The 12,392-nt window shown below is 41.7% G+C and overlaps 1 long non-coding RNA gene across 1 annotated transcript in view, besides 1 other annotated feature; it reads right to left on the reverse strand.

The window, feature by feature from the left end:
• Positions 9,104-9,213: an enhancer, noted in NCBI's record as "active region_3192". NCBI's record gives its function as "activates an Ori minimal core promoter by ATAC-STARR-seq in GM12878 lymphoblastoid cells {active_cell/tissue: GM12878}" and the evidence as "EXISTENCE:reporter gene assay evidence [ECO:0000049][PMID:35858748]".
• LINC02652 (long intergenic non-protein coding RNA 2652) overlaps positions 9,805-12,392 on the reverse strand; it is a 62,806-nt gene continuing 60,218 nt past the window's right edge. The window contains exon 3 of the long non-coding RNA NR_134496.1: positions 9,805-9,904. This is a non-coding gene — a long non-coding RNA (long intergenic non-protein coding RNA 2652). The remainder of the gene's footprint in view (positions 9,905-12,392) is intronic.

Here is a 12,392-nt window from a genome sequence, read left to right on the forward strand (position 1 = left end):
CATGCTCTCCTGGTTTTCTTCCTACATCTCTGACAATTAGTCATCAGTCTCTTCTTAGGGCTCTGATACCTTTGGCCGCCCCTTAAATGTTTTTATCTTCCAGGCTCTGCCTTTGATTCTGTCTTCTGCTGTTGTTCCCACTGTTGCTTGGGGAGTTCATCTAATCCCAGGTTTCAGCAACCACTTACACATTGTTGCAAACCAAATCTATTTTTGCATCCAAGACATGCTCCCTAGCTATAGTTTTTTATGTGTGACTTTCTGGACAGCTACACTTTAACATCACAAGGGCATCTCTAGCAAAATATGTCCAAAATGGAAATCTTACCCCTTCACAGCCAATCTCCTTGAATTGCCTACTTCTACTGGCTTCAGTTCTCACCTCCTATTCATTCTTCAACCCACTCCAATCTGGCATCTGCCCCCACCACTCCTAAAAATATGCTTTTGGTAGAGTTACTAATGATCTTCTTGTAACCAAATCCAATGTACACTTTGATTATTTTTCTTATTGCTTCTTTTTTTTACTTAGAGACAAGGTCTCACTCTGTTGCCCAGGCTGGAGTGCAATGGTGCCATTAGCTCACCACAGCCTCCAACTTTGGGGCTCAAGCGATCCTCTCGCCCCCACCTCCCAAGTAGCTGGGACTACAGGCGTGCACCACCATGCCTGGCTAGTGTTTGCAGGTATAGGGTCTTGCTCTGTCACCCAGTCTGGAGTGCAGTGGCATGATCATAGCTCACTGCAGCCCTGAACTCCTGGGCTCAAGAGATCTTCCTGTCTCAGCCTTCCGAGGGGGTAGGACTACAGGTGCACACCCCCACGCCTGGCCCTGGCCTCCTCTACTCTGCCCTGCAAAACTCAAGTTCTACCCACCCTGACTTCTTGCCATTTCCCAAAACACACCTTACCCTTTTGTGGCCCTGTGTCTTCAGGCTGTTTTCTTTGCTTGAACAATTTTCCCTCACTTGTCTGTTTAGCAAGTACTTTCTCACCCTTCAAAACTCATCTCAAATATAATTTCCTATTTGAATTATTTTATTTTTTCCTGAGGAGAGAGATGCTTCCTTTCTCAGTTCCTACTGCTTTCAAATGATTTATTTACCACATATCACATTGCATTATAATTATCAATTTCCCCGGTGAAGGTGGTATGAAATTGATAGCCACAAATTGGATGTGTAGGAAAGGTAGCTTTCTTTATTTTCTGTAGTAAAACTCAACTAACTGTTGAGCCACGTAGCCATACATGACAGAAAACACATATTCTGGCCACCTAGGAATCCCTTCTGGAGTGAAACAGTCTCTTTTGAGTAAATATGCAGGCAATTTTAAGATCCTGTCAGTTTTCCTTTCAGCTGACTTCTTTCTGCACATAATCTAAGTTTCTGGGTGACTTTGGTAACATCTTGACATTAAAGAATGGAGTATCTGGACCATGAGTCTTTCTCCAAGTCTTTCTGGCCTCTGAAGAGGAAGGGACATACCACCTGGTTTTAGGTATTGAGGGCTGTCATCACTTGCTGATATCCAAGGCCCGTGACATGGCCTCTGGTGAAATCACTGGGTCCACTCGTTCTTCACCTTCATCCAGGCTGCTCCCTTCCCACCCTTATACCCTTCCTCTGAGCATTTATGCCTCTAGTTTCTCCCTGGGCTCGGGAACTCTGACCTGTTGTTTCACATCATTGTGCAGGGTGCAGAACTCTACAGCACTGCAGTCAGGTCCATCTACCTGGACAATGCCTCGAACCATGGTTCATGTGGGTCTCTCCTACAGGCTTGCCAACCCCCTGGAATGCAAAGCCCAGGCGCGTTTCTCTGGAGGGTGGGAGGGTGCTTCTTGGGCACCTAACTTACTCTCAACTTGTTTAATCCAACAAGTTTATTCCATTCAGCTCAGGAAGAACTGCTATTTTTTACCCACATTAGAGTTGATTGTTAATAAAATCTGTGTTCCCATCTTCTAGGCTCTGAATCTTTGATTTTTCTAAGGCATGCGTATTATCTCTCAATCAAAAATCAAACGTGTTCAGCTTTCAGACTGATACGGTAGCTAAGGAGTTCAAAAATCATATTTTGAGGCTGGGCTAAGTGGGTCACGCTTGTAATCTCAGCACTTTGAGGGGATCGTTTGAGGCCAGGAATTGAAGATCAGTCTGGACAATATAGTGAGATCTCATCTCTACAAAAAAAAAAAAAATTCAGCCATGTGTGATGGTGCACGCCCGTAGTCCTAGCTACTCAGGAGGCTGAAGTGGGAGGATTGCTTGAACCCAGGAGTTCGAAGCTGAAGCAAGCTATGATTGCATCACTGTATTCCAGCCTGGTTGACAGAGTGAGACCCTGTCTCTAAAAACAAAATCATATTTTGAAGCTCAAAGCTAAATAATGATTGCTTTTTGCTAGGCTGTATCCACCCTTCCCCTGGGGACAATGCATCATAGGAAGGCATTGCTGCTTTTTTATTGGTGGCTGGGGGATGGTAAAGCAAAAGAATAGAAAATGCAAGTTAACAGCAAAACCTTTCCCTACAGCACTGCTTGTATTCCCCACAAAACCCTAAGCTCTCTGATGGCAGTGCCACATAGAGCTGGAATGCATGTGGCAGCCAGAAAATAACAGATCCCTGGGATAAGAGATAGCAAAGGTCAGGGTATCAAAGCTATGATAAGGCCCTGGCTTATAAGGAGTTGTGGTAAACCCACATTTCATTCCCCAAAGCTTTCTCCTTTGTTCTCTACTATCAAGACTGGAAATGTTAAATTCATACTTAATTTTCTAGTTTCCTCTGCCACTAGAGTCAGTGGCAAGATTTTGTCAATTAGACATGAAGTGAAAACTTCATGTGAAGTGTCTGGGTGAGTTTTTGCTTTCTGAATAAAAGAGACAGACACAGCTAATAACTAATCTCCTTTCTTCTTGCCTTCATCAACTGGCTAAATCCTCACATTGTCTTCTGACCTGTAGAAAAAGGATAGTTATGGTGGTAAGGGCCAAGTGGAAGCCCTTTGAGTTCTTCCTCCCTACAGAGAGAGTAAACAAAAAGCAATAACACATTCCTGAAGAATTGTAGTAATTGGTGTCTCCTTCAAAGTTTTGAACAATAAAGACATGGTTATACCTATGATATCCCCCATTACACTCAGTTGTAGAGTCTTTGCAGAAGAGAAACTTATCTTGGAAAAAGACAGTGGATTAACCCAAGCCTAATTAATAACTGACTTTAATTACAGCTGCTTTTCTGGATATGATTTCCTTATGGTAGCAAGGCAGCACAGGCACAGGTATGTGGTATGTGCTGCTATGAATTTAGAAAATGCTTCCCCTTCTCCAATCAATAAACAGAGAAAACCAGAAACACTGTGCTTTTGCCTGGAAAGGACAGCAGGACACCTTCATGATCAGTCTCCTTTCCTCCCTTGCCTTACCCAAGGGAATTTTTTGAAAACTTGATATTCCTACCAACTATACATCCTGGTTATTCACTATTTTGATGACATTTATATGGGTGGACTGGAATTAGGAAGTTCCTTGGATGCCCAACCAAGATATATGCCTGCTAAAGTATGGGAGGAAAATCTCATGAAAATATGGACCTCCTACCCTTACAAAAGAAGCTCAAGGCCAGGTGTGGTGGCTCATAGCTGAAGTCCTAGTGCTTTGGGAGGCCAAGGCAGGAGGATTGCTTGAGGCCAGAAGTTTGAGAGCAGCCTGGGCAACATAGCAAGACCCCATCTCTACAAAAAAAATTAAAAAATTATCTGGGTGTGGTAATATGCCTGTAGTCCTAACTACTGGGGAGGCTGAAGGGGGAGGATTACTTGAGCCCAGTAGTTTGAGGCTGCAGTGAGCTATAATCACACTGCTGCACTCCATCCTGGGCAACAGAGTGAGACCCTGTCTCAAAAAAATTTAAATTTAAATTTAAAAAAGAAAGAAGCACAATACTTGATGGAATGTTGTGGATTTTGGAAGCTACCCATATTGCATTTTAGGTCTCTTTCTACAGCTCATATACTAAGTAAACTAAAATATTTTCTTTTGCCACCTTTGAGTAGGGCCCAGAGCAAGATAAGTCTGTATGGAGGCTGAAGCTAACCTTGACTGGAGAATAGGATTTTAAAGCAAGGCTATGCTGTATTGCATTAGTAACAATTTCCATTTTGGGAAACAGCTCTTGGCTTGCTACTGAACCCTGGTAGAAATTGAGTGCCTGGCTATGGGACATGAGGGGACAATGTGATTGAGCTGGCCATGACAAAATGGTTGTTTTCTGATTCACTTCTCTATACAGTTGAGATGCCCAGAAGCAGTCCATTATCAAGTGGAAGTGTCAGACACCTAATCCGGACTGAGCAGGTCCTGAAGACACAAACGAATTGCATAAACAGGTGACTTATCTTCCCAACCGGGCTATTCCTGTCCACTGCTACTTCAATCAATCTCAAAAGACGTAAGGCCTCACAGGGAGTTTATTATATCCTGTTAGCTGATGAGAAAAATTTGAACCTGGATTACAGACGGGTCTAAATAACATGCTAGCACCAGCTGGAAAGACATGTCATGTTGCAGCCCTGCTATAGAATTTTGGTATAGACTCTGAACTGATCATCAATATATGGTATTGGTTTTTCCAAAACCAACATATAGTCAATCCTCATCATTCATAACTTCTGTGCTTGCAAATTTGCCTACTTGCTAAAATTTATTTATAACCCTAAAATCAATACCAATGGCACTTTCATGGTTATTTGAGGACATGTGCAGAGGTGGCAAGAAATGTCAGTTGCCCTCTGCATGTTGCCAGCTCAGGCTGAACAAGGCAATGTTTCTTGTTTCAGATCCCATACTATAAATAAGCATTATTTTCAGTGTCTATTTAGTGCCATATTTCCCACTTTCTATGCTTTTTGTTGGTGATTCTGCTGTTTGAAATGGCCCCTAAGCATAATGCTAAAGTGCTGTCTAGTATTCCTAAAAACAGGAAGACTGTGATGTGCCTTATGGAGAAAATGTATGTGTTAGATAAGCTTCATTCAGGCATAAGTTATAGTGCTGTTGGCTGTGAGTTCAATGTGAATGAATCAACAACACAATACATCCAGGAAAAGGAGAAAGAAATGCACTGACCTATAAGTCAGGCCGCTCCAGTAATAAATTTATAGACACATTACCTAGTGGATTAGGGTTCTCTAGAAAAACAGAACCAATAAGATATATATATATATATATATATATATATATATATATATATATATCCTTGCTATATATATATAATGTAGCATATACATAATATATGTATCTCATATATAGCATATATAGTGTATATATACATATATAAATATATATATGGAGAGAGAGTAATTTATTATAAGGAATTAGCAATGACCTAAGCTCTTTTTAAAAAATTTAATGGCTTAAATTCTAGTCCAAGCCCAAGGGCAAGAGACTACCAATGATCAAGCTTGAAGACAGTGAGGCAGAGATAGACAGTTCCTTCTTACTCAGCTTTTTATTCTATTCGGGCTTTTGACTGATTAGATAGGACAATCTGCTTTACTCAGTCTACTGTTTCAAACGTTAATCTCATCCAGAGAGACCCTCGCATACACTCCCAGAAATAATGCTTAACCAAATATCTGGGCACCCCAAGGCCCAGTCAAGTTGACACATAAAATTAACCATCACACCCAGGGGTATGAAAATGTGAAACTCTTCTGAGCTAGTGCTGGCTGGCTTTCACATTTCAAAAGGCAACAGAGCTTGAGAAACATTAAACTTGCATGTGAGGCAGGTTCTGCAGATCAGGAGGCTGCAGATGAATTTTTTTAAATATCTGCCAACTGTTATACAGGAAAGGGTTATGTACAAGAGTAGGCTTTCAATGCTGATGAGACTGGCTTGTTTTACAAGGACATTGGCAAACAAACCTATATAATGCCTAGGGTGGCATTTTGTTTGGCAAAAATTTTATGACCAGAGGCTCACAGGAACATAACCTAGTCTTTCCTCTTGGAGCAACAGTTCATTATTTGCCAATTCAGCATTAGAAGAAACTTTATAGGATGTAACTACCATGAATAATTTGAATAAACTGTATATGAATGGGGAAGCAAGGAGTGGAAGTGAGAGTAGCTCCTCCACTTTTATACCTAAGGACCCCTCAATATTTATGTTGTAGTCTTCATGATTTTGGGCTCTGATTGTTTAGGAGTCAAAGACATATGGAATGAATTTTTACACCAGAGGACACAATGACAGTCTCTAAAATATTTTTTAAATACTCTGTTGATTGCACTACTTATTTGTACTCTGTGTGTGCGTGCATGTGTGTGTGGGGGGGTGGTCATCAGTTTCCCTTGAACCCACAATGCCATCTGCACTGCTGGTCACCACCATTCCTTTTTAACCTTCTTCAAACTGTTACCAGTGGAGGGTGTCCAGGTTCTTGGCATTTTGAACAAACAATTGGGCAAAGCACACAAACAAAGCAAGGGAAGAATGAAGCAATGAAAGCAGAGATCTATTGAAAACGAAAGTACACTCCACAGGGTGGGAGCAGGCCAAGCATAGTGGCTCAAGAGCCTTGTTACAGAATTTTTTCTGGGGGTTTAAATACCCTCTAGAGGTTTCCCATTGGCCACTTGGTGTACCCCCCCATGCAAATGAAGTAGTAGCCTGCAATCAGTCTGATTGGCTGCTGCAACCAACAGAGGCTGAAGTGAAGTCACAAAGGTTACACCCTATGCAAACATCTGATTGGCTGTGAAAAGCAACCAATCAGAGGCTAAAGTAAACTTACAAAGTTACACTTCTATGCAAAGGAAGAGTTGGCCTACAATCAGTCTGATTGGTTGTAGAAAGCAACCAATCAGAGGCTCAGAGGCTGAAGTGAAGTTACAAAGTTACACTCCTATGCAAACGTCTTATTGGTTGAGGAAAGCAACCAATCAGAGGTACTTTCAATTTTCCATCTGCCAGGCAGAAAAAGGGGCAGGCGGTTGCAAACAAAGTAGCCTCCTGTCCTTTTGTTACTTGGGTGTGGAAAGGTGGGGTTTTCCTTTTGATTTAGTTCTAGGAAGTCAGCGTGAATCGGCCTTAGGTTCCCTGCCTCCAGACCCTATTCTCCCTGCCTCAAAACTACTTTTCATGCCCATTACTCTACCGAAAATGCTGTTGTCAACTTCACCAATGCTGTGTATATTGCCACGCCCAATGAATGTGTCTCTGACCTCAACTTTCTCTAATTCTCATCAGCTTTTGACTGAGTTGACCACTCTCCCCTTTTTGACACCCTCTTCTCTCCAATTCTGTGGCAACCTATTCCCATTCTACTTTTCCCCACCTTACCAGCATCTCCTGTGTTAAGTTCTCCTTCTCTACTCAATCAGCAAAATTTGATTCTCCTCAAAACTTGGTCCTGGGCCCTCTTTTTAATATCTTCTATACCTAAATATTCTCATCCACTCCAATATCTTTACATACAGTTTATGTCACAGCTTCTAAATTAATACGTCCAGCTCAAATCTTTTTCCCTTTCTCAAAAGTCACATATATAACTACGTACTTGACATTTCCACTCGGCTATCTCACAGCATCTCAAAGTCCATATGTCCAAAACAGAACTCCCAATTGTCACTGCCAAGCTTTGGTTTCATCTCCCATCCCACTCCTGGTTCTCCCCCATATTAAGAAATAGCAACACATTCATCCAGGACCTCATTTAGAAATCTAGAAGTTATTCTTGACTCTTACCTTTTGCATGTCTCTTGCCTCTAATTCAATCCTCCAGCAGATTCTACCTCAAAACACATTTCAGTTGTGTCTACTTCTCTGCATGTCCACTCTCCTGGGTGTCCACCATAAAGTCGGTGGGAATAGATGAGTATCACAGACAGGTTTAGACCTTTATAACCCAGAGGTGTTACCCTAGAGAAAACAGACAGCTTCTCTCTTCCAGCATTAACGTAAAATCCCAGCGAAGAAGCGGCCAGGTTTGGCTCATCTGCCAATTATTTTGACCAGAGGGATGTAAAGAATGCCAGACTAAGAAAAACACCACCACCTGCTCAGAATGGAGGCTGGTGACTGGGGCCCTCACCTCCCTGTGTGACGTCACCTCCCTGTGTGGGGTTTGCTGTCTTGCATGCACTTCACATGCAAACCAGAACTCTTGAAATAATGGGCTCTTCAATGAATCTTTATCATTATAATGCCTAGAAGCTTTGAGAATTTCCTAGAATAGATCTTATACAGAACTTGTAAATTAAAGAAAGCCTTTTGGCTGGGCGCAGTGGCTCATGCCTGTAATCCCTTGGGAGGCTGAGGAGGGCAGATCCCCTGAGGTCAGGAGTTCAAGACCAGCCTGGCCAACATGGCAAAACTCTATCTCTACTACAAATACAAAAATTAGCCAGGCATGGTGTTGCGTGCCTGTAATCCCAGCTACTCGGGAGGCTGAGGCATGAGAATTGCTTGATCATTTGAACCTGGGAGACAGAGGTTGCAGTGAGCCAAGAGCACACCACTGCACTCCAGCCTGGGCGACAGAGCAAGATTCCATCTCAAGTTAAAAAAAAAAAAAAAGCCTTTTAGGGCTCTGAAAACATTCGATTATATTTTGTTGGATTGAGGGGTCTGGTTATAAGTGGAAGGTGTCAACCCCTGTGTTCTTTTTCAGTCTCTTAGGATGCTTTCAGCTCTGAGTTCCCCAGATTGGCAAGGTTCCAGAATATATACAGCTATATGAATAGATGTAGATAGCTCATGTAGACAGAGATAGATATTGATATAGATTCACATGCATTCTATTCTTTAAATTTATGATTTAGGACCATTATACATACCAGAAAATGCATAGTTGAAGAACTAAACAGTAAGACATATATAAAAAGAAGTAAAGCCAGAGTTTTTTCCTATCTCCATACCCCATCTCCGAAAACCTATGGTAATTCAAATTAGTCTATTCCATTGAAACCCACATGTCTTCTCTTAACATTTTTATAGTTACGGAATTCAACTGGAATTTTGATTTCCCAGAACGAAAATAAGCAAGAAAAAATCTCCCAGGGTCAGAGAAAGCCATTCTTCCCATTCATGTTCTTCTCTTGAAACACCAGTAGAGGGCGAACAAGATGGCAGATAAAACCCCTGGAGCCGACAGGGCAGCCCAGAGAACTTCCTTAATTCCCACTGCCCAGCGGCCAAATGTGGATTCCGAACTCAGGAACATGAAAAAGCGGAAATATGGCCTTGAACACTAATTTGATTTAACCCTGGCGTTTCCAAGTTGTTTCTCTCCGATTTGGGTCTGTGATAGAGACTAAATCCTTTACAACCTGCCTGCTCATCTCCTAGAGACCAGTTTTGGAAAGATAGGTCTCAGAAAATGCACAAAGGGTGGGGCCTGGTGGCTCACACCTGCAATCTTAGCATTTTGGGAGGCTGAGGTGGGAGGATCCCTTGCACTGAGGAGTTCAAGACCAGCCTGGGCAACATACCTAGACCCAGTCTCTACAAAAAAAAAAAATACATATATATATATATATATAATCATATGTGTAATTATTACCCCAGGTGTGGTGGCATGTGCCTGTAATCCCAGCTACTGGGGGGCTGTGGTGGGAGGATCACTTGAGTCCAGGAGATTAAGGCTGCAGTGAGCCATGATCGCACCACTGCACTCCAGCCTGGATGACAGAGTGAGACTCTGTCTCAAAAAAAAGAAAAAAATCTATCTATACACACACACACACACACACACACACACATACACACATATATATATGCACAGAGGAGGGCAGAGGATAACAATCTATTTCTTATTTTAATGACAGGGTATCACACGCTTGCAGCAACCAGAACGTGACTTCTCCTGAGTACTGAAGTATTTCACAGCATCTGCAGAATTTAAAAGGAAGGAAATCAAGGAAAGGAAAATTTATTTTCATATACCCTTAGTTCAGAATAAAGACACATAGAAGCCTTATGGAGGAAAAGATAAGAATTTTATAAGCCTCGATGTTGAATAAAGAATTTTCTATTGCAATTTTAAAATACGTATGTATGGCCTCTGCCCAGTTAGGTAGCCTTGTGGGCCATTTGGGTAAAGCCCTCTTTATACTGTAATTCAATGTGTCAAAGATCAGTTGTTATTAGATGGGCAGACTTTTTTCAAAATGATAGAATCCAGTTTGGGCAAAAGTCTGGGAATATGAACCATTTTGTACACTCTTGGCTGGAGGGTAAATGGGTACAACTTTGGAAGGCAGTTAGGCAATGTCCATTCTAATTTTGTGTGAACATCCTACATGATCCCTCATTCTGACTTCTGTCCTGTAAAAACACTAGTAAAGTGTTCAAAAAGATGTGATAAAACCTTCATTGTAGCATTGTTTGTAATAAAGTTTAAAAAGAACTTAAAACTTCACTAAGGATAGACAGAATCGTTATGGCTTGTTACATGCCCTAGCACTATTCTAGAGGCTTTATCCGCATTAATTATTTCATCCCCACAACAAGCATTTTTTTCCTTTTCTTTTATTTGTATACTCTTTTTTTTTTTTTTTTTTTTTGAGACAGAGTCTTGCTCTGTCACCCAGACTGGAGTGCAGGGGTGTGATCTCAGCTCACCTGCAACCTTCGCCTCCCAGGTTCAAGCGATTCTCCTACCTCAGCCTCCCCAGTAGCTGGGACCACAGGCATGCACCACCATGCCTGGTGCACAAAAAATTTTTGTATTTTTTAGCAGAGACAGGGTTTCACCATGTTGGCCAGGCTGGTCTCAAACTCCTGACCTCAGGTGATCGGCCCACCTCAGCCTCCCAAAATGCTGGGATTTCAGGCATGAGCCACTACACCCGGCCTATTTGTATACATTTCAGGGGTACAAGTGTAGTTTTATTACATGGATATATTACACAGTGGTGAGGTCTGGGTTTTTAGTGCATCCATCACCTAAAGACTGTGGACTGGACCCAAGTAACTTCTCATCACCCACCCTCCTCCACCCTCCCACTTTTCCCAGTCCCCCGTGTTTACCATTGCACACTCTATGTCTATGTGTACACATGACTCATCTCCCACTTATAAGTGAGAACATGCGGTATTTGACTTTCTGAGTTGTTTCCCTTAAGATAATGGCCTCCAGTTCCATCCATGTTGCTGCAAAAAACATTTTATTCTTTTTTATGACTGAATAGTATTTCATTGTATATATACACCACATTTTCCTTATCGAGTCAGCCATTGGTGGATACTTAGGTTGATTCCATATCTTTGCTATTTTGAATAGTGCTGGGATAAACATACGAATGCAGGTATCTTTTTGCTATAATGATTTCTTTCCTTTGGGTAGATACCCAGTAGTGGGGTTGCTGGATCAAATGATAGTTCTATTTTTAGTTCTTTGAGAAATCTCCATACTGTTTTTCATAAAAGTTGTACTAATTTACATTCCCCCCAACAGTGTATAAGCATTCCTTTTTCTTTATATCCTCAACAACATCTGTTATCGTCTTACTTCTTAATACTAGCCAATCTGATTGGTATAAGATGATATCTCACTGTGATTTTAATTTGCATTTCTTTGAGGATTACTGATATTGAGCATTTTTCATATGCCACTACAAGCATTTTATCAGAACACATTTTATGCATAGAGAAATTAAGACGCAGAGAGGGGAAGTCATTTGTCCAAGTTCACACACAACCTAAGGGGCACAAGTTAGTATCCAACCCGAGTAGTGTCCATGCTTTTTTTTTTTTTTTTTTTTTTTTGAGACACAGTCTCGCTTTTGTCCCCCAGGCTGGAGTGCAATGGTGTGATCTCAGCTAACTGCAACCTCCACCTCCCAGGTTCAAGCAATTCTCCTGCCTCAGCCTCCAGATTAACTGGGATTACAGGCGCCTGCCACCACACTCGGCTAATTTTTTTTTTTTTTTTTTTTGTATTTTTAGTAGAGACGGGGTTTCACCATGTTGGCCAGGCTGGCCTCGAATTCCTGACTTCAGGTGATCCACCCGCCTCGGCCTCCCAAAGTGCTGGGATTACAGACGTGAGCCACCATGCCCGGCCTATAACTTTTTTTTTTTTTTGTAGTCCATGCTCTTAATTCCTAGGTTCTACTGTGCCTCTTACTGTACTGTTGGAAACATGAGGAAAATTTGTATTTACTATGTGAAAAGATGTCCATGGTATAATGTTAAGATTTAAAAAGCAGTTTAAAAAATATGTGTAAATAGGTCGGGCGTAGTGGCTCATGCCTGTAATCCCAGCACTTTGGGAGGCTGAGATGGGCAGATCACTTCAGGTCAGGAGTTGGAGACCAGCCTAGGCAACATAGTGAAACCCCATCTCTACTAAAAATAGAAAAATTAGCTGGGCATG

Source organism: Homo sapiens, chromosome 10 (genome assembly GCF_000001405.40).
Source record: "Homo sapiens chromosome 10, GRCh38.p14 Primary Assembly".
Classification (NCBI taxonomy): Eukaryota; Metazoa; Chordata; class Mammalia; order Primates; family Hominidae; genus Homo; species Homo sapiens.